This window comes from Homo sapiens, chromosome 10 (assembly GCF_000001405.40).
Source record: "Homo sapiens chromosome 10, GRCh38.p14 Primary Assembly".
NCBI classification, from domain to species: Eukaryota; Metazoa; Chordata; class Mammalia; order Primates; family Hominidae; genus Homo; species Homo sapiens.
In genome coordinates this window covers 71774191-71793176 of record NC_000010.11, presented here as the reverse complement: position 1 = coordinate 71793176, position 18986 = coordinate 71774191, and the positions used below count along the sequence as shown (strand labels likewise).

Here is an 18986-nt window from a genome sequence, read left to right as displayed (position 1 = left end):
GGAGAGGGAAAAGGGAGTAGCTGCGCACAGTGGCCTCTTCCAGAAAGATCTACCAAGACACATTTGTTGGTGATCTTCTCAAGTCCCCTTCTCATGACAGCCTTGACAGCATTTTCTTTTATACCTTTTTCATACTTGCAATTTTATAGGAAAATGGCATGTTATTTTATTTTATATTCTTTGATTAAACAATATTTTATAATGTAATAATTAGTTGTATCTTCTGCAAATGGTCTGCTTTTGTCTTTTGTCCATTTTTCTGTCAATTATACAAGTCACATAATTATGACAACTTGAGACATATATATATATATATATATATATTTTTTTTTTTTTTTTTTTTTTTTTTTTTTTTTAGATGGAGTCTTACACTGTCACCTAGGCTGGAGTGCAGTGGTGTGATCTCGGCTTACTGCAACCTCTGCTTCCCAGGTTCAAGTGATTCTTATGCAGCAGACTCCTGAGTAGCTGGGATTACAGGCACCCACTACCATGCCTGGCTAATTTTTTGTATTTTTAGTAGAGAAAGGGTTTCTCCATGTCAGGCTGGTCTGGAACTCCAGACCTCAAGTGATCCACCTGCCTCAGCCTCCCAAATTGCTGGGATTACAGGCGTGAGCCACCTCGCCTGGACCAAGACAAATATACTTTTTGGTTTGTTGTTTGCCTTTCAATATTGGCTATAATTATTTGATGTAACAAGGTTTAAATTAGCATGCATAGAAATTTAATATTTTTCCTCTTAAGTTCTTTTCTTTTATGCTTAGAACCTTCTTACCCAGAAATGAGTTATTCACCTAAGTTTTCTTCATTTATTGTTTAGTGTTTTCTACTTTTTAATATTTTCTTTTGGTTTTTATTTTGGTGTCTGACATGGGGGAGAATCTACACTAAATATTACATTATTATTATATTAGATTACATACAGATTATAATAATTGGATGTAATTGATTAGATTAAATAGGTTTTTGCACACTGAATAAGTAGCTTCCCCATTGGCCTCATTGCTTCCTTTATCACATCATATTTTATTCTTTAATTTACCAGTATCTGTTTCTGGGCTACTTTGTCCTGGAGTCTTGTGCCCATATTGCATGGCCTTAAATACTGTAGCTTTATAATATGTTATAAAATCTGGTAAGCCAAATCTGGCTTATTATACTTATGTTTTTCAAAATTTTCTTATTCTTCCAGAAGTTATATTTGATTTTGATGGGAATCATGTTGATCCTATTTTGACTTTAAAATAGTCAGTCTTTCCATCTGGGAATTCAAATGGAGAATACTTAGGAATCTTGTAGGCCAGGCGTGGTGGCTCACACCTGTAATCCCAGCACTTTGGGAGGCTGAGGCGAGTGGATCACCTGAGGTCAGGAGTTTGCGACCAGCCTGGCCAACAGGGTGAAACCCCGTCTCTACTAAAAATACAAAAATTAGCTGGGTGTGGTGGTGGGCGCCTGTAATCCCAGCTACTCGGGAGGCTGAGGCAGGAGAATCACTTGAACCTGGGAGGCTGAGGTTGCAGTGAGCCGAGATTGTGCCATTGCACTCCAGCCTGGGCAACAAGAGCAAAACTCCGTCTTAAAAAAAAAAAAAGAAAAGAAAAGAAAAAGAAAGAAAGGAAAAAAGAATCTTGTTTTGCAGGCAAGATACAGAAGCTCAGAGGAGGGAAGCAGGGGCCCAGGTCTCCTGACTCCCTCTCCAGTGTGTTCTACACTCACCCTGCTGCCCATCTTTCTCCCCACTGGAGGCAAACTCCGTGTCCAACCTGAGGCTCCAGTCCCCTGTGACCACCAACCGGCCCCTGGTTGTGGGGTGCTGGGGCCTGTCCCCTGCTTACCAGGCGGGCAGTTCTCTAGCAGATGGACAGTGAGGGTGGCAGGGCTAAAGGTGGGCCGGTTGTCATTGTCATCCAGGATGGTGATGAGCAGGTGGGCCGTGCTGTTGAGCAGCCCGATGTCCTCAGCCAGCAGCAGCAGCTCCAGGATGGGTGGCGAGAATGCCTCCCGGTCAATGATGACACCTGACCTCACGGTCACCACACCTGGCACCCGGTGCCGCCAGCCAGGGAAACACACAGAAAAGGGGTGCGGTGGGAAGACAGGGCAAGAACCAACAGGGAGAGAGCAGAGAAAGACAGGGGCACCATGGGACAGAGATGAAAGAGGAGCAGAGGCAGTAACAAAATGACTTTCTCCCCCACAGGCTCAACCACCCGTGCTGAGGGAGGGCCCCATGCATTTCCTGTGGTTGTCCCCTCTGCAGGTGCCCTCTGCTGTCTTCAAGACTCTTGCCTGGGAAGAGTGACCCAGGGCACAGGGTTGACCGTCTCTGTTGACAGATGTGCTTTCCTGTCGGCACCTGTCACCAAAGCGGCCTCCTGTCCAGGACCAGACGGATGTGGCATGGTCTGGTTGGAGGACAGGAAAGTCGCTCTGGCTACTTCTGCTGGACTAGGGGCCTGAGCCTCTGGCCTGCGCATGGGGAGATGACGGGAGTGGGCTGGGGGGCTCCCGGCCCAGGCTGAGAGTTCGTGCACCAACAGAGGTCCTGTGTATCGTCTCCAAGCCTCTTCCCACGTCCCCCTGCCAGGCCACTGGGTGATATAACCCAGCTGCAAGATGGGGACTCTGGGCTGTGAAAAATGGGGTCTCCACGGACAGCCTGGGTCCAGCACTGAGAAGGGAGGCCCTCAATCCAGCAGTGTGGCCATCCCCACCCCAGAATCAGGCTGGGAGTGCTGGGTGGCACAGAGGCCTCACCGGTGCTGCTGTTGATGTCAAAGAGGCCACTCTGGGCACCCAGCAGCTGGTAGGTCACCACGGCGTAGATGTCTTGGTCTGCATCCAGGGCCAGGATGGGCCCATTGAGCACCGTGAGAGGGGTGCCTGGGCCAGAAGGAGAGGGGTCACCACAAGACCAACCCAGCCCCCTGCCCTCCCACCTCCCCTGCCCTGTCCCGGTGAGCCATGGCTGACGATGGATGAGAGGGGAGGGAGGTGAGGTGGACAGGGTGGGGAGGCCCTGGGGGCGGGCCTGCGGCAGCCTTGGCAGACTGAACGCAGATGCCTGGGGAGCGGCCTCAAAGCCCTGCTGGGGAGAAAACATGAGAGTGGTGAGCAAGGCCCCGGCTGCCCAGAGCCACATCTGCCTTCCCAGCAGCCTTTGAGGCTGGCCGCTCCTCGGGAGGGTCTGGGGCTCCCTGACATCCCCTCCCCATGTGTGGGTCTCGCCTGTCAACACATGTGTTCACACAATGCTCTGCCTTTGGGGGCCTGGCCATACATGACTAGAAAAACCCACTCATGTGTGCATCAAGTTCTGTGTTCACATGGCCACAGGCACTTGTCCAGGAGCACGCACAGGCCTGGGATTCCCTGGTTGTGCACTCGTGTGCCTCTGCAGGTGGGCATGTCTGCACACGAGCGCATCAGTGGGCACCCATGTACCTATATGTGTCTGTGCACATGTGTAACCCCACGCACATGCCTTGGTATGGACACACACGGGCACATGTGTGAGCATACACACAGACAGGTTTAAGAATGAAATTCACCTAGGGGGGATGCCCAGCCAGAGATGAGGAACAGGGGCTGGGGAGACTGGAGGAGTGCAGGTGCCACCTCAGGGGACATCACAGAGGAGATTCTGTCCCTCTGGAGGGAGGTGAGCCTGGTCAGTGCATGTGTGTGGGGAGAGGGCTACACTGGCCTACCCAGGACCCCCTGACCTCCCACTTCTAGTTATAGATGCTCCCCAGGGCTTCCAGAAGGCCCTGGGATGCCCTGCACTCCTGGGGTGGAGGGAGCAGTGAGGGGTGGACCCACTCCCCTCCGGGGTAGTCCTCACACCTTACATGCCCTTCTTGAGGGATGGTGGGGCAGCTCTCAGACCACCCTGGGGAACAATGACCACGACTGTCTCTTCCAACCAGACCTGTGGCTTCTTTGTGCTCATAGGAGGCCCGGGAGCCCCAGCCCACCATCTCCCGGAGCTGCACCCATCCTTCCCCTCCCGCACCCACTGGGGTCTAGGTTCAGCTATGCCGTTAGGCATAAGGGAGGTCCTCAGGCATCCCAGGCCCCAGTGGTGCCTGGCAACAGCAGGAGCTCCCGGGTGGGCCCAGCACCTACCAGCGGGAGAGTTTTCCATCACCTCTGCCTGGTAGGTGCTTTTAGTGAAGAGGGGGTGGTTGTCATTCTCATCAGAAAGGAAGATCAGAAGCAAGTCATAATCCTGCAAGGGGCAGAATGGGGCACGTTGTAGGCCATGCTCAGCAAAGTGCCCCCACCTAGGTGGGAGGAGGGTTGGGAGGTTGGGGATTGGGGCACAGAGGTGGATGATCAGAAAAGCCCACACCAACATGAACTCACATTTTTCAAAAGAAGACATACAAGAGGGCAACAAACATGAAAAAATGTGGCCGGGTGCAGTGGCTCATGCCTGTAATCCCAGCACTTTGGGAGGCCAAGACGGGCAGATCACGAGGTCAGGAGATCGAGACCATCCTGGCTAACATGGTGAAACCCCGTCTCTACTAAAAGCACAAAAAATTAGCTGGGCGTGGTGGCACGCACCTGTAGTCCCAGCTACTTGGGAGGCTGAGGCAGGAGAATGGCATGAACCCAGGAGGCGGAGCTTGCAGCGAGCGGATATCACGCCACTGCACTCCAGCCCAGATGACAGAGCAAGACTCCATCTCAAAAAAAAAGAAAAAAAGAAAAAATGCTTAGTGTTGCTAATCATCAGAGAAATGCAATAAGCCACAGTGAGGTACCCTCTCACACCAGTCAGAACGGCTATTATTAAAAAGTCAAAAAACAACATGCTGGGCATGGTGGCTCACGCCTGTAATCCCAGCACTTTGGGAGTCTGAGGTGGGCGGATCACTTAAGGTCAGGAGTTCGAGACCAGCCTGGCCAATATGGTGAAACCCTGTCTCTACTTAAAATACAAAAAAATTAGCTGGGCATGATGGCTTACACCTGTAATCCCAGCTACTTGGGAAGTTGAGACAGGAGAATCGCTTGAACCCAGGAGGCAGAGATTGCAGTGAGCCGAGATTGTGCCACTGTACTCCAGCCTGGGCAAGAGAGCAAGACACCATCTCAAGAAAAAAACAACAGACACTGGTGAGGATGCAGAGAAAAGGGAATGCTCATACACTGCTGGTGGGAATGTAAATTCCTTCAGCCACTGTGGCAAGCAATATGGAGATTTCTCAAAGAACTAAAGACAGAATTACCCTTCAATCCCACAATACCCCTCTACTGGGTACCTGCCCAAAGGGAAATACATCGTTATATCAAAAAGATACTTACACTCACATGTTTATCGCCACACTATTCACAATAGCAAAGATATGGAATCAATGTAAGTGTCCATCCACAGAGGACTGACTAAAGAAAATGTGGTATATAGACCATGGAATACTACTCAACCGTAAGAAAGAGTGAAGTCGTGTCTTTTGCAGCAACATGGATGGAACTGAAGGCCATTATCCTAAGTGAAATGACTCAGAAATAGAAAGTCAAATATTGCATATTTTCACTTATAAGTGGGAGCTAAATAATGTGTAACCATGGATATACAGAATGGAATAAGAGTCATTGGAGACTCAGAAGGGTGGGAGGATGGGAAGAGGGTGAGGGTTGAAAAATTATTTATTAGGTACAATGTTCACTGTTCAGTGAGTGGCAGTGAGTTCACAGTTCAGTGAACATTGGACATAATAGGTAGTTTTGGGTACACCTGATGGGTACACTAAAAGCCCAGTCTTCACCACTACACAATATGGACATGTTAAGAAACCTGTGCTTGTACTCCCTGAATCTAAAAAAAAAAAAAAAAAAAAAATCTGAAAAGCGCCCACACCAGGGTTCAAAGACCTGGGTTGAAGACCCTATTCTGGGTGATCTTGGGTGCCTCATTTCCCCTGTCTGGGTCTCAGTTTTCTAGTCTGGCAAATAGGGATTTAACTCCTTCACGGAGGTGTGGCAAATGGGATTGAATCCTGTTCCATCTCACTTCAGGCGGGAAGATGAGTCCTGTTTCTCGACCTTCAAGGCCTTCCTGTTGCCCTGGCTGGAGTTCATTCAAACTCTGCCAGTGCCTCACTTCACACTCGCAAACCTCAGAACCTCCAGTACCCCTGTGCACTGTCACCACCTCAGAGACAAGGGAACCAAGGTGCAGAGATGGGGAGTGCCCATTCAGAGCCAAGTGGTGAGTTAGCAGCAGAGTGGGGCTTAGCCCCTAAGCCCACCGAGTCCTGCCACTCAATGCTGCTTTTACCCGGGGCCCTCCTGAAGCCAGGCAAGGGAGAGGAAAAATGAGAGCAGAAAAGAGAAAAAGTGGGGGCAAAAATGAGGGAGTAGAAGCTGGGCATGGTGGCTCACACCTGTAATCCCAGCACTTTGGGAGGCTGAGGCAGGTGGATTGCTTGAGGTCAGGAGTTTGAGACAAGCCTCGCCAACATGGTGAAATCCCATCTCTGCTAAAAATACAAAAATTAGCCGGGCAAGGTGGCGTGTGCATGTAATCCTAGCTACTCGGGAGACTGAGGCACAAGAATCGCTTGAACCTGGGAGGTGGAGGTTGCAGTGAGCTGAGATCACGATTGCACCACTGCACACCAGCTTGGGTGACAGAGTGAGACTCTGTCTCAAAAAAAAAAAAAAAAAAAAAGAGTAGGAAGCAGAGGAGCACCACATGGGAGGGGCATGTAGCTTATGAGTTTCTCCAGCCTGACGTCTCCTCTGGCTAGACCGATAGGGAAACTGAGGCCCAGAAAGAGTGGTGCCTTGGCTGAGCCACACAGCTAGTCAGGGGCAGAGCTGAGATGAACTGGGCCTGAAGGCTTCTGGCTAGGAATCTACCACAGATTCATGGGCTGGAAGGACAGAGCTGACCCCCAACCCAAAGGGACTGTTTGCTTTGCAACATCCACCTCCCTTTAGTCAAGAGCTCATTTCTTTGGCTTCTGAGGGGAGAGCCACCTGGAAAACGCAGCCCTTCCAGGACCTCAGAGCATGCTTGTGGGTGAATGCAGGCCCATGTGCCCCATGCACAAATGCAGTGTGTGTCCAGGTATCAGTGGTTTGGGGAGGAAACAATGATAGTTGATGTTCACTGAGTGTTTGTCACACTCCAGGCACTGTGCTGAGGCTTTCACATATATTGGCTCCTTCATCCTTTCTACAACTTTGGGGTAGGTGAGATCTTCATTTTGCAGAAGAGAAATGGAGGCCAAGAGGAGTTAACTAGCCAAAGCCACGCACCTACTGAAGGAGAGAACTGGGATTTGAAGCCAGCACGTGCTCACTCCAAAGCCTGTGCATCTAAGCCTGGCTATGCTGCCTGCAGGAGGGGTGATGTGTTCTCTCTCCATGCGCCTCTAGCTCCCAGCCCACTCCCACCAGTGCCCTCCAGTCTCACCCTCCTGGCTATGCGTGGATTCTCCGGGTTGTCCTTCACAGAAATGGTCAGCTTGTACTCTGGGATCCGCTCGCGGTCCAGGGGCCGGTTCACAGTGACGATCCCTGTCTGGGATGTGGAGGGTGGTGAGCTGCATGGAGACCTTTTCCCTGCTTTCTACTTTGGCCCACAGATGCCAACTGCTCTGCTTGGCCTCCCTAAATTGCCTAAGAGATGATCTAGAAGGCCAAAAATGTGGGTCGGCAGGGTCTCGCCGGGGCGAGAGTGACCCACTCATGCCCAGGCCTTGCTGCTTCTGAGAGATGGCCCTCGGAGGACCCCATGGTGTTGTTGGCCATCTACAGACACCTCAAGAGGCTAAGTGAGAACTTTGGTGCGTCTTGATTAAACCAAGTGGTCCCACAGGCTCTGGCCCCATCTCTGCACATGACAAGCTTCAGGGCTGGCTCTAGGTGGACTCCAGAGATGGTTCACTGGTGAATCCAAGATTCCATGCTTCCCACAGAGGTGTCCTCATCCCAGTGCAGGAACGGGAGCCCGGTGGAGCCCAGATGGTGGCAGCAGAAAAGCCTCTAGGGCAGGGTCCTCTTTTTCACTGGAAACCCTGGGAAGCTCCCTGGGGTCAGTCTAGGCCCTACCGTGGCATTGATGAAGAAGGCCCGCTCGCGGTTGCCCGCAGTGATGTTGAAGGTGAGGCGTGCATTGCAGCCACTGTCAGCGTCACTGGCCAGGACATGGGCGACAAAGCTGGAGACAGGGCTGTTCTCGCTGATGGTGATGTTCATGGGCAGGTTCAGCAGCACAGGGTCGTTGTCGTTGATGTCCAGCACCCGGATCCCCACCAGCATCTGGGCCAGTCAGAGAAGGAGGAGGGAGGGGAGGAAGAGCGACAGATGTTGTGCATGGCAACCGAGGAGGAGGTTCGCCAAGGGCGGCATGGAGGGAGGGAGGGTGCAGTTGGTCATGGAGAAGAAAGAGAAAAGGGGAGAGGAAGAAAGAAGAAAAAGAACATTAAAAAGGCAAGAAGATGAAAAGAGGATGATGAGGGAAGCAGGAAAGGCAGAGGCAGAGGAGGGGCAGTGATGGAGAAGGGAGTGATGGGGCAGGGGTTGGGTGCAGAGGGGCGCTGAAAGGCAGCCTCCCCAAAGAGTTGCTGGATGTGGCGAGAGGTCTATTAAGGGCCCCAGGGGCAGGCCTGGCCTGGCTCCAGGGCAGCCTGTGGCCTCTCTTGGCACAAGGGTAACAATGTTTACAAGAATCTCTGTGGCAAGTACAGGGGCAGCGAGGTGAAGCCAGCGGGTGGGGCCCCCAGACTCACTGTGGAGCTGAGTGGGGGCATCCCCCGGTCACGGGCACAGATGGTCAGGTTGTAGAAGGCGATGGTCTCCCGGTCCAGCTCCACGTCCTTCCGGACCCTTAGCACCCCCTCCACAGGAGAGATCACAAACTCCCCTGGGTGTCACCAGGAGAGGCCCAAGTTAGTCGGGCATTGGCAGGAACTGTGGAGACCCCAGGACTCCTTCTGCTTCCTCTAGCAAGCCTCACTCGTCACAGGTGGGGGACAGCTGGGGCCCGGGTCCTCCAGTGACCCCAGCTTCAGATCCTCATGAGATCTGCAAGGGCTGGGATGTGCAGGTGGGTGGTAGCGGATCACCACCACGGGTGCAGGCGGACACGGGCCACTCATGCCCTCATGTGCCAGACCAAGCAGCTTCCTTCCCTGGGCCACAGGCAGGCCAGAGACTGACCTGGGTAAGATGGCTATGTTGAAAAAGTGGGGGCTTCTTGCTACACTAGCACCCACTGTCTAAGCACTCTTGATCAATGAAGGCATCAGGTGCTTCGCAATGTACGATCCATCCCACATGCCATGGCTTGTAAAAAAGGATATTGGGAAGGGCAGAGCTGACCACAAAGCAATGCTTTGCTAATGGTGAATGCGCAGGCACCGGGCAGGCAGAAGGGGACGGATGAGGGGCAGGGAAGCCCCCAGTGCCCTCTATTTAGTCCCCATATTGAGCTATAGTTGGAAAGCAGAGTGGGTTCCCTACACCTGTGGTGACCCTGATTTCCTTTCCTTGATGTTTCTGAAGAGCCCCGCTGGCCCTGTGGCCCCAGAATCCTTTTCTTGGCTGGGCTGCAGGGCCCGATGTCTGACAGTCCAGAGCAAGAACCTCAGATTCTCAGATGCTGACCTGGAAGGCAGCCCAGAGACCGTCCAGTCCCTTGTGTCCTTTGGAGAATGAACTGGGAGCCCAGGGGAGGGTTACCACTTGTCTGCACTCCTGCAGCAAGTGAATGACAGACCAGGATTCAAACCCAGCACTCTGGGTCTTAACCCATTGCCTCGCACAGGACTTGTGTTCTTTCCAGACAGCACCACTCAGAGCTGACCGGGGCGGGGTGAGAACACGGAGGGTGGAGAGAAGAGACAGGGGGAAGGAAACCAGTGAGCAAGCGTGAGCCCAGCTGGAGAGGCAAGAATGGTGGGGGCTGTGGCTCTGGCAGGAAGAAAGTTGAGGGGATGTGAGCTAGGGAACTGGGAGAGCCTGCAGAAGAGAGGCCACCTCTCCGCATTCCCCCAGGAAATGGAATGGAGAGAAGGTTAGTTACCTCCTTCACTTTCCCTTTGAATACTTAGGGGGAAGGGCCCAGAATGGGGCACTGACTTGCTCTGGGACAGACAGCAGGAAGCACACAGCTCACAGGGCATGGCAAGGACAGGGGCCCAGGCGCCCCCACAGTTTTCTCTGCCTGTCTCTTCACATCCTACCTCACAATTCCCTGTCCCCAGCTCCTAACACTCTGATGTACAAAAACAGCCCCTCTCAGTCCCACCTGCAGCTGGGATTTCCCACCAGCCCTTCCGCTCCCAGGCTCTTCCCGTCCCATAGGCTTCACCCTGCCTGGGGGGTGGAAGCTGCTTAAAGCAGGATTTCCTGAGCATGACACCCCAAGGTCTCCAAAGAACTGGGGATTCCCTTTCTAGGTGTTTCCCAGCCCTGTCTCAAGCCCCGGCCATATGCAGGCAGAGGGCCTCTTGCTCTCCTTCCAAAGCCAGGAGGAGACACCAGCACCACTCCCTTGAAGGCTCAGGGAGGCAGGCCTGAGGGGCTGGGGGCTGGGCCAGCCTAGTTCCCCTGTGCAAATTCTTCTCCTTGGCAGCTTGCTCTGGGGCCAGACTTCCCCATCCCTCCACAACTCCTGGAGACAGGAGGTTAAAAGCCTAGGCTTTCGTCCAATCATATCTAGGTCTGCATCTGGACTTCATGCCTGTGTGCCCTTGGGCATGTTAAGGAGCCTTGCCTTGATGTTCTCATCTGAAAAATGGGCTAATAGAGAGATGCCACCTTGGGGTTGTGCTGATGCTGGACAAACCCTGGCCCACCTTGTGTGTGCTGATCCCGAAAGGGAGCCCAGGCAGGCCTCTGAAGGAACGGGGAGCTTTCAGGGAGGGTGAGGATGTAGGAAAGGGGTCCAAGGAATGGGTGTGACCAGAAAGGGCAGCTGAGAAGGCAGGCGCTGGCGGGAGAGGCTCAAGTGCATGTGGCCTGTCTCCCAGCTCTTCTTTGAGCACACAGCTCCTCCTAAGGGCTCAGTGGGGCTGGTAAGTGCTCAGAAATCTGGCATCTGTCTCCCTATAGAAAGCAGCCTTCCAGCCTCAGGCTGCAGTGTTGGGAAGGTGACCTTTAAGCTGGGGTCCCAGGCACGTCCCTCCATGCAGTGGTGCACTGTGAAACCAGCTCTCTCCAGACAGCGGTGCTGGCTGTAGCATCCGTCAACCCTTCAGTGACCAACATGAACCCCGAGGTGGGAGGAGATGTGGGAAATGGATGTCGTGACCCATGTCAGCAGTACCATCAGGCCTTCCTCACCTCTCTGGGCCTTCATTGATCATTTCTGAGATGCGGGTGGCGCTCAGAGACCCCAAAGTTATCTTTGGGCTCTAAATGTCTACTCTTCCTTCCTTGGGGGAGGAAGCCTCCCACCCAGGTCAGCCTTAGGAAACTCCTAGGCGTCTCTCACTCCTTTGAGAGCCTGCCTGTTAGTCTGCTGGGACTCCCCCACAAGGCCCCAAATTCTTAAGGCTCATCCCAATCACGTGTGGATTGAACCCAGGAAGTTTCGCTTGTGGCTTAAAGGCCATGGCATGGAGGTCTGCACTGTGCTGGAGCACAGGTGTGTGCTCTGTGCCTTGAGGCTGGGGTGCAGAGTGGGCCCCTCATGGGGAGGGGCTTCAGCTGCTCACCCAGCACCTGCCTCTCCACCAGGTGCCGGCATCCTCCTGTGCTCCAGGGACTCCCATAAAATTACAAAATCTCTGTGTTTGTGAAAACAGCAGAAGAGAAAGGCCCTTGCTCTGCTGGTTTCCAAAGAGGAAGGCCTAGTGCTTGGCCAGAGAGGAGACTTTGGGATCCGAAAGGGTAGCATGTCCGAACAGAGTGACCCCTCATAAGCTCTGGGCAGCAGGGGCTCTCATTCTGTCACTTGGGCCCTCCATATATAGGTTGTTGTTTTTTCCCCCAGCCTCTTAATTGCAAGCGAGGCTTGGGTTCACTGTTGAATCTTCGCACCGCTCTTTGTTTCCTGGATTTAAATACCTCTATGCTGACAACTCCCAAATACCCGTCTCCAGCCCAGACCTCTCTCCTGAACTCTTGGCTTGTATACGCAACCTCTACCTGGTATCTCGAACCGACCCTCCTTTCCCTCCACAACCTCCTGCTGCAGCCCTCCATCCGTCAATGGCAACGCCATCATCTTTTGGGTTGCTCACGCCAAAACCTTGACTTTCTCTCACATCCCACAGCCAATCAGTTAGCACATCCTACTGGCTCCACCTCTGAATTACACCAGAGGTGGCCACCTCTTTCCCTTTGGTGGTGATGCCACCACCCTCTCCCGGCTACCTCATTCTAGCCTGAGTGATTGCAGCAGGTTCCCATCCGACTTCCCTGCTCCTTTTCCTTCACCCCTACAGTCTGTTCTGATCACAGGAACCAGAGTGGTCCTGCTGAAACCTAAGTCAAATAATGTCTCTCCTCTGCTTAAAGCCCTCTTAGGGTTCCCACCTCAGAGCAAAAGCCACGCCCTCATGATGCCCCTCAAGGCCCGACAACATCTGGCCCCATTACCTCTCTGGTCTCATTTCTTCCTATGCTTCCCTTTGCTCAACTTTCCCCCAGCTGCAGGCCTTTTTGCTTCTCTGTGAACATCCCAGGCATGCTCCAACCTCAGTGCCTTTCCACTTGCTGTTTCCTCTGCCTGGAATGCTCTTCCCCAGATGTCACTTGACTCACCTTTGCCCTCCTTCAGGTTTTTGCCAACCTACAATTGCTGCCTTCACCCTGGCATTCCCCATCCTCCGGCTTGGTTTTATTTTTCTCCATAGCCCTTAGCACCTCCCAGTATACTAAGTCATCTACTTAGTCAGTTGGTTCATTGCCCGTGTCCTCCAACTGGAACGTACGTTCTACGGGGCAGGGATTTGCATCTGTTTGGTATCCCCAGCTCTTGGAACATGGCCGGCACACTGGAGGTACTCAAGAAATATTTCCTGCACGACCAATTAAAAAATCAGGATGTTTCACAAAGATTTGGATTTCTGCTTTTCTTTTCAAAATGGGCCCAGGTACTCCCAGGCTGGGATCTGGACACAGCTACTACTGGCAGGAGCTGAGTTGTGGCTGCGCAGTCCCCACTGCTCCTGATTCTTTCCTACACCATCTCCCACGAAGGCTCCTTGCCTGACCCTAGCTGGCGCCTTTGGATCTGGGATTCCCACTCTATAGTAATGAGTGAAAATGGACTTGAGAAGTTGCCCTCAAGGCCAAGGCAAACTCTGCTCTTCATCCAAGGAGAGGGCTGTGAATGGGTGACTATGAGATGTGCAGAGCAAGCCAGGCGCTCCCTTGGTGTGTGGGTTTGTGGTCCTGAGGGCGGGGGCTGTGTTCTGCACGCACTGTAAGGATGTGCTTCCCTCGTCTGCCCTGGGGCCCTTCCTCTGGGTATGCAACAGGGCATTTTTTAATCATGTTCTTAAAGGAGTCTGTGTCCCTCCAAGGCCACCAGCCCTTGTTCCCAGATTATAGGGTGTTCTCGCCACATCTCTGGGAATAAGAGGTGGGAGAAGATTATTTCCATCATTGTCATAGATGGGGAAACTGAGGCCCAGAGAGGACAAAATCACACAATGGTGAGGCCAAATGCCTTGAGACCTCCCTTCTTATCCTCCCCTGAGCGGGTGTGCAGGTGAGACCCTGTGGGTGGCATGCCCCAAGCCCCACTCACCCAGAGGGTCTCCATCCATGATGCTGTACTCCACCTGCCCGTTGGGTCCTGAGTCTCGGTCATGGGCCAGGAAGGTCCACACTCTGGGCCCCGGCTGGCCCTCAGTGACTTCAAATGGTCCCTCATAGTCCCGGGGGAAGGTAGGCACATTGTCGTTGATGTCATTCACATTCACAAGCACCTGAGATGGTGGAAAAGCTTAGCCAAGGCCTCACCCCAGCCAGCTTTGTGCTGGGCCTCAGTTCCTTCCTCTGTGAAATGGACCTGATAATTCTGCCTCATGAGGCCCATGCAGGAATCATATGGGAAGTCGGATATGGGTGGGGCTTTTAAGCTATGCATGTGGATGAGTTATCATTATTGCCAAAGCCTTTTATGGGCACAATCATCATATTAATAAAAATGCTATTGGCCAGACACAGTGGTTCACACTTGTAATCTCAGCACTTTGGGAGGCTGAGGCAGAGCCAGCCTGGGCAATATAGCAAGACCCCACCTCTACAAAAAATAAAAGAGTAATACATTAGCTGGGCATGGTGGTGCATGCCTGTAGTCCCAGCTACTTGGGAGGCTGAGGTGGGAGGATTGCTCTTGAGTCCAGGAGGTCGAGTCTGCAGTGAGCTGTGATCAAGCCACTACACTCCAGCCTGGATGATAGAGTGAAAACTTGTCTCAAAAAAATAATAATAGTACTGCCCATAAACTTCTATTTGTTGCTGCACTGTGGTTGTCTTACGTGGTTTCATTTACTCCTCTCACTCCTTAAAACATAGTTTGTATTGTCCTCCTTTCACAGATGAGGAAATGGAAGCAGGGAGGTTAAGCAACTTGCTCAGGGTCACACAGCTAGAAAGTGGAAGAGCAAGGACTTGAAACCCAGAGTTCATGGTTTTCCCATGAAGGAGAGGAGGGCAGGTATTGTCACTTGTCTGACAGATGTAGCCACACAGGGAAGTTCAGTGACCTCGTTAAAGTCACACAGCAAGTTTGAGTGAGTTGCTGAGATTAGGACAGGGGTCTTGGATTTAGGCATTTCCCTCAGACAATCTTCCCCTAACCCCTTCCCGCATCGGAGCTTTCTGGGTCCCATCCTTCGCCAACCTCCAAGCCCAAGTTGGGGCTGTGTCCCATGCACCCACCGTGGTGGTAGAGGTGAGGCGGTGGGATAAGATGGGGCACTGGTCTGTGGCAGTGACGATCAGGGTGTAGCGGCCGTGGCTGATCTCGTAGTCCAGCTCTTTGGCAGCAGTGATGACACCCTGGGGGACACAGGGAAGGGACAAGGATGGATCTAGGGGTGGTAGGTCTGCAGCACCCTCTGACCAATTTGGGAAGTAGGCCCTGACATTGGAGCTGTGATGGGGAACCACTGCCACCCCCTAGCCCAGGCTCCACTCCACCAAACTTTTCATCCTCCCACACTGAGTGCCCCCACAGTTTCCCCTAGACTGCATCTTTGCTCCATCCCCCTCCAGTGTCACTGAACTCCTTGCCAATCCCTGGATAGGTTTCGCCCCTTGTCTTGATCCTGCCATCAGCTGCTGACCATGTGTCTGTCGATGCGGAAGGTGTTGACGATGTTGCCTGCGACGATGGCATAGGTGACTGTGCCGTTGGGACCCTCATCCAGGTCCAGTGCCTGGATGGTGATGAGGCTGGTGTTGAGCGTGTCTGGGCCCTCATCCAGCAGCACCTCATAGTGGGGCTGCTGGAACATGGGCGCGTTATCATTCTCATCCACAATGGTCACGTACACGTGCGTGGTGGCCTGTGGAAAAGAGTGGGTCACGTCCTTGGTCAGGTGGCCAGAGGGACCAAGGTGGATCCAGATGGCTGTTCTCCTGGGCTGAACTCACTCCATGTGACTCAAACAGAAAGGGCAAGGAGAAGAAAGCAGGGGGTGGGTCACAGGCTGGTAGAGAGAGAAAGCTCAAAAACTCCACCAAAAGCCAAGTAAGGTAACTGCTCTGTCCAAGATGGCACTGGCACCACCACTCCTATGTCTGCGACCCCCAGCAGACATCACTAATCAATCACAGAACTGCTGAGGCCAGATGCAAACTTGGGATCCTTGTTAGCACAGTGGTCTAGTGATTAAGACTGGCATATGGGATGAACCCTGGTAGTCACCCCAGCTCAGAGCTTTACGAGGGCCTGTGTCTTATTGAGCCTATATGTCCTGCCAGACTACAAGAGGCAAGAATGTGAGGCACTCGGCCCAATGCCATATTTAACCTTCATCTATTGTTCATGTAAATGAAAGAAATACATATTTTCAGCATTTCCAGAAGGAGGACATTGGGTTTGTGGCAATTTCGTGGGCAGAACTTGTTGACCTGTGAAAAATAAGACTCACAGAACATAACTTCATTCCAAGAACAGCTTCTACAACATACTCTCCTGTGATCGGCCATCTCTGCCAATGCTTGAGTCAATTGGACCACAAGTAATATTCAGCTAATCAGAACTCGGCAATCAGCACTCAAGAATCAACTAGAAATGGTTCTTGCTCCTGCTTCCTGCCTTTCTCCACCTGGGAAGATGTCCCCTGTGGACTAACTGCCTTACCCTGGCTCCCTTGCTATCCAGCTTCCTGCTGGGTGTGGCCAATGGGAGGCCCTGGCTGAAGATGAAAGCAGTGGGGAGAAAGAGGCGGGGGTGTTTCTTCCACACTCCCTCCATTCCTCACTGCGGTTCTGCCCATGGCTGTGTTTCTCCTGCTTGGGGACAGGGGTCCCCCTTTCATAGCACCAGCTTTCACTGGGCTCCAGAACATCACTTCCTCTTCTTTCCCTTTGGACATGTGAGTGGTAGTGGCTTCCTGTGGTTGGTGCTAGTCTCTGGGTGCTTTACCAGCCTTCCTAAACAGTCCCTGTATTAAACTCTCTTCAGTTGAACCCTTTCTGAGTGTGCCATCTGTTTCCTGCCAGGACCCTAACTAATACAAATCATAATGAGTGACTAATATAAAATAATAAGGTGTTAATCACTGCAAAGGTGTCTGGGTAGAGAGAACGTGACTAGGCCATTGCCAGGCCAGAGAACAGAAAGCAGGTGGTACAGACAACTCAATGTAGGCAATTTGCATATGGTTTTTTCCTTGGGACTGGCTGGCTCTGGAGCTACCACTGGAAGAATGGACAGATGGGCAGGGGATCTGGACCCAAGAAGGCTGTCACTGCCCCTGAGGAGGCAATGATTCCTCTGATATGCAGCTCTGGATCTTGGGGGTGGAGGGCATTGGGTGTTTGCTGAAACGGTTTCCAAAGCAGATAGGGTTGGCAGCCTTGAAAAGGAGCTGCGTGGCCTTGGGCAGGTCACATCCCCTCTCTGGACCTTTTCTGTCTGTTTAATAAAGGACCTGGCTTGATTTCTAAAGTTGTTTCTAGCTCAGGGAGTTTGGGAGGTGAGTTTGGGAATGTGGGAAATGTCAGCATCCCCTCCCCAACAGGGAGGCTGGAATTCAGCCCCTTTCCTGCAATGTGGTGCTCTTGTATTCTTGCCGGCAAGTAAGGGGACTCAGGAAGGCTCAAGGCTGGGCCCCTCACCAGTAGAGAGTACTCACAGCTGCCTCCAGGCCCTGCAGAGCCACAAGATGGACATGGTGGCTTTCCTTGACAGTCATCTTTATTCGAATATTTGGGGCCTTCACCACTATTTTTAATGAAAACAAGCACAAACACATGATGGAGTGTGCAGGCTGCAGGGGCTGGGAGTGGAGAGTTTGAACAGAGTTGGGCCTTGGAGCCCCTCCTGCTCTGAGACCAGGTCTGGGCTTGGGGAGGGAAGGTGGGTTTGACTTCCTCTGGTCTCGGAGGGAGGAGAAAGTCAGTGCTCCAAAGGCCCTCTCAGCTGAGCCCTTCCTGTCCTGCCCTGGTGTTGAGGAAACAGTGCTTGAGGTTTCTGGACCATGGTCCTTGGGCAATGCCTGTGTCTCACCCTGATGCAACCCCAGGAGGCTCAGTGGTGGGCAGTGTGGTAGGGAGAAAGGAAGTGAAAAGGGGGGAGGGAACTGGGCCCAGCTCAGAGGCTCTATCCCCCTGGGGAAGGGGTTGGCAGGGCAATTGCTCCCCTTTCTCTAATTCCAGGCCCTCCCCGGCTGCTAGGCCCTGGGGAAGAGGGAGTCTGGTTTCAAGGGTGTCCTGAGCAAAGCCAGTCCAGGAAGGGTTGAGATGGGGTGGTGCTCTAGGATCTTGCCCTTAAGGGACCCCCCTCACTTGCCAGAGGATGTCAGGGTGAGAAGGGCCCGGTGTCCACCTGATCTCAGTTGGCTTTGTACCTCCCCTGGTGGAAGGGAGCTCATGCTATGCCAGCAGGAAGGGCCCTGGGCTGCCTTCCAAGGTGGGGTCACAAGGCCAGGAGCATGCCCAAGGACCTGGGTTATGTCCTGCCAGCCTCTGGGGCTCCCATCCTGGGGAGTTCACTGGCTCCAGGGGGACTGGGCCTGCACAAGTTCACTTAGTAATAACATGATGCCTCAGCCTTCCTCTGTTGTAGCCTTCCCTGCCCTTAGAGCAAGGGCTAAGGGCCTCCAGAGAGCCCGTGACTTGGATCAGGCCACCCACAAGGCCCCCAGGACTCCTGGCTCCCATTGAGTCCTGATACCCTGGTTCCTGACCCAGTCAGACTCTGAGTGTCCTCTGCCTCTCAGCCTAGGAGTCACCTATTAACCCAAGATCCCTAAAGTGCCAGAAAAACCCCTGGAAGCTTCAGCTAGACTGGGGTAAACTGAGTAAAATGGCTGTGCTCTTCCACTCCTGTGATCCCTGGTCCTGGCCACGATCACCTCTGCTCCTCCATCACACAATCACTCACTCACTCATTGGTTTGTCCATTCAGATAAAAGTGCAGTAAAACCTTCTCCACGCCCAGCTTTGTGCTAGGGTCTCAGAAACATCAGAGAGAGGTTTGTAGTTTCGCTCTGGAGGGCAGAACAGCCGGAAGAAGAACCAACTGCTGGTTATCTCAGGCTGGAGGTGGTAGCTGAAGGGGGTGTGGACAGTAAGGATTTGCCGGGAAAAAGGAAGGGTCAGGACATTTCGTGAAGTGGGAGGACTTGAGCTGAGCCCTGAGGGATGAGAAGAATTAGGAGGGGAGAGACATTCCAGTGGTGCCAGCAGTGCTGGGTGTGGGTGCAAGAGCAGAGGCACTAGAAGTTAGGGTGCATCAGAGTGTCCTGCAGATATCCAGGCACCAGGGAGGGAGGGCGGGTGCACAGCCAGGCGGACAGCTGAGGCCTCTGCCGGAGGGGAGCTTG

General features: G+C 52.9%; 1 protein-coding gene and 1 non-coding gene across 2 annotated transcripts in view, besides 2 other annotated features; both read right to left on the bottom strand.

Annotated features, from left to right (window-relative positions):
* CDH23 (cadherin related 23) overlaps positions 1-18986 on the bottom strand; it is a 419028-nt gene that overhangs the window by 22771 nt on the left and 377271 nt on the right. The window contains exons 39-47 of the mRNA NM_022124.6: positions 15276-15497; positions 14869-14988; positions 13730-13910; positions 8757-8890; positions 8077-8286; positions 7439-7546; positions 4135-4237; positions 2764-2889; positions 1842-2045 (exon numbers count right to left, since the gene is read on the bottom strand). Of these exons, the coding sequence (NP_071407.4) occupies positions 1842-2045; positions 2764-2889; positions 4135-4237; positions 7439-7546; positions 8077-8286; positions 8757-8890; positions 13730-13910; positions 14869-14988; positions 15276-15497 (1408 nt within the window). The remainder of the gene's footprint in view (positions 1-1841; positions 2046-2763; positions 2890-4134; positions 4238-7438; positions 7547-8076; positions 8287-8756; positions 8891-13729; positions 13911-14868; positions 14989-15275; positions 15498-18986) is intronic.
* Positions 1990-2889: an enhancer, noted in NCBI's record as "H3K27ac-H3K4me1 hESC enhancer chr10:73550045-73550944 (GRCh37/hg19 assembly coordinates)". NCBI's record gives its function as "activates a minimal SCP1, AML or CMV promoter by ChIP-STARR-seq in naive H9 embryonic stem cells {active_cell/tissue: H9 hESC(naive)}" and the evidence as "EXISTENCE:reporter gene assay evidence [ECO:0000049][PMID:30033119]".
* On the bottom strand, positions 2377-2430 carry MIR7152 (microRNA 7152). Its single transcript, NR_106974.1, has one exon. It is a non-coding gene; the product is annotated as a microRNA 7152 (primary transcript).
* Positions 15016-15171: a silencer, noted in NCBI's record as "fragment chr10:73537763-73537918 (GRCh37/hg19 assembly coordinates)". NCBI's record gives its function as "represses an EF-1alpha promoter that drives an FKBP-Casp9 reporter gene in an ReSE screen in K562 erythroleukemia cells {active_cell/tissue: K562}" and the evidence as "EXISTENCE:reporter gene assay evidence [ECO:0000049][PMID:32094911]".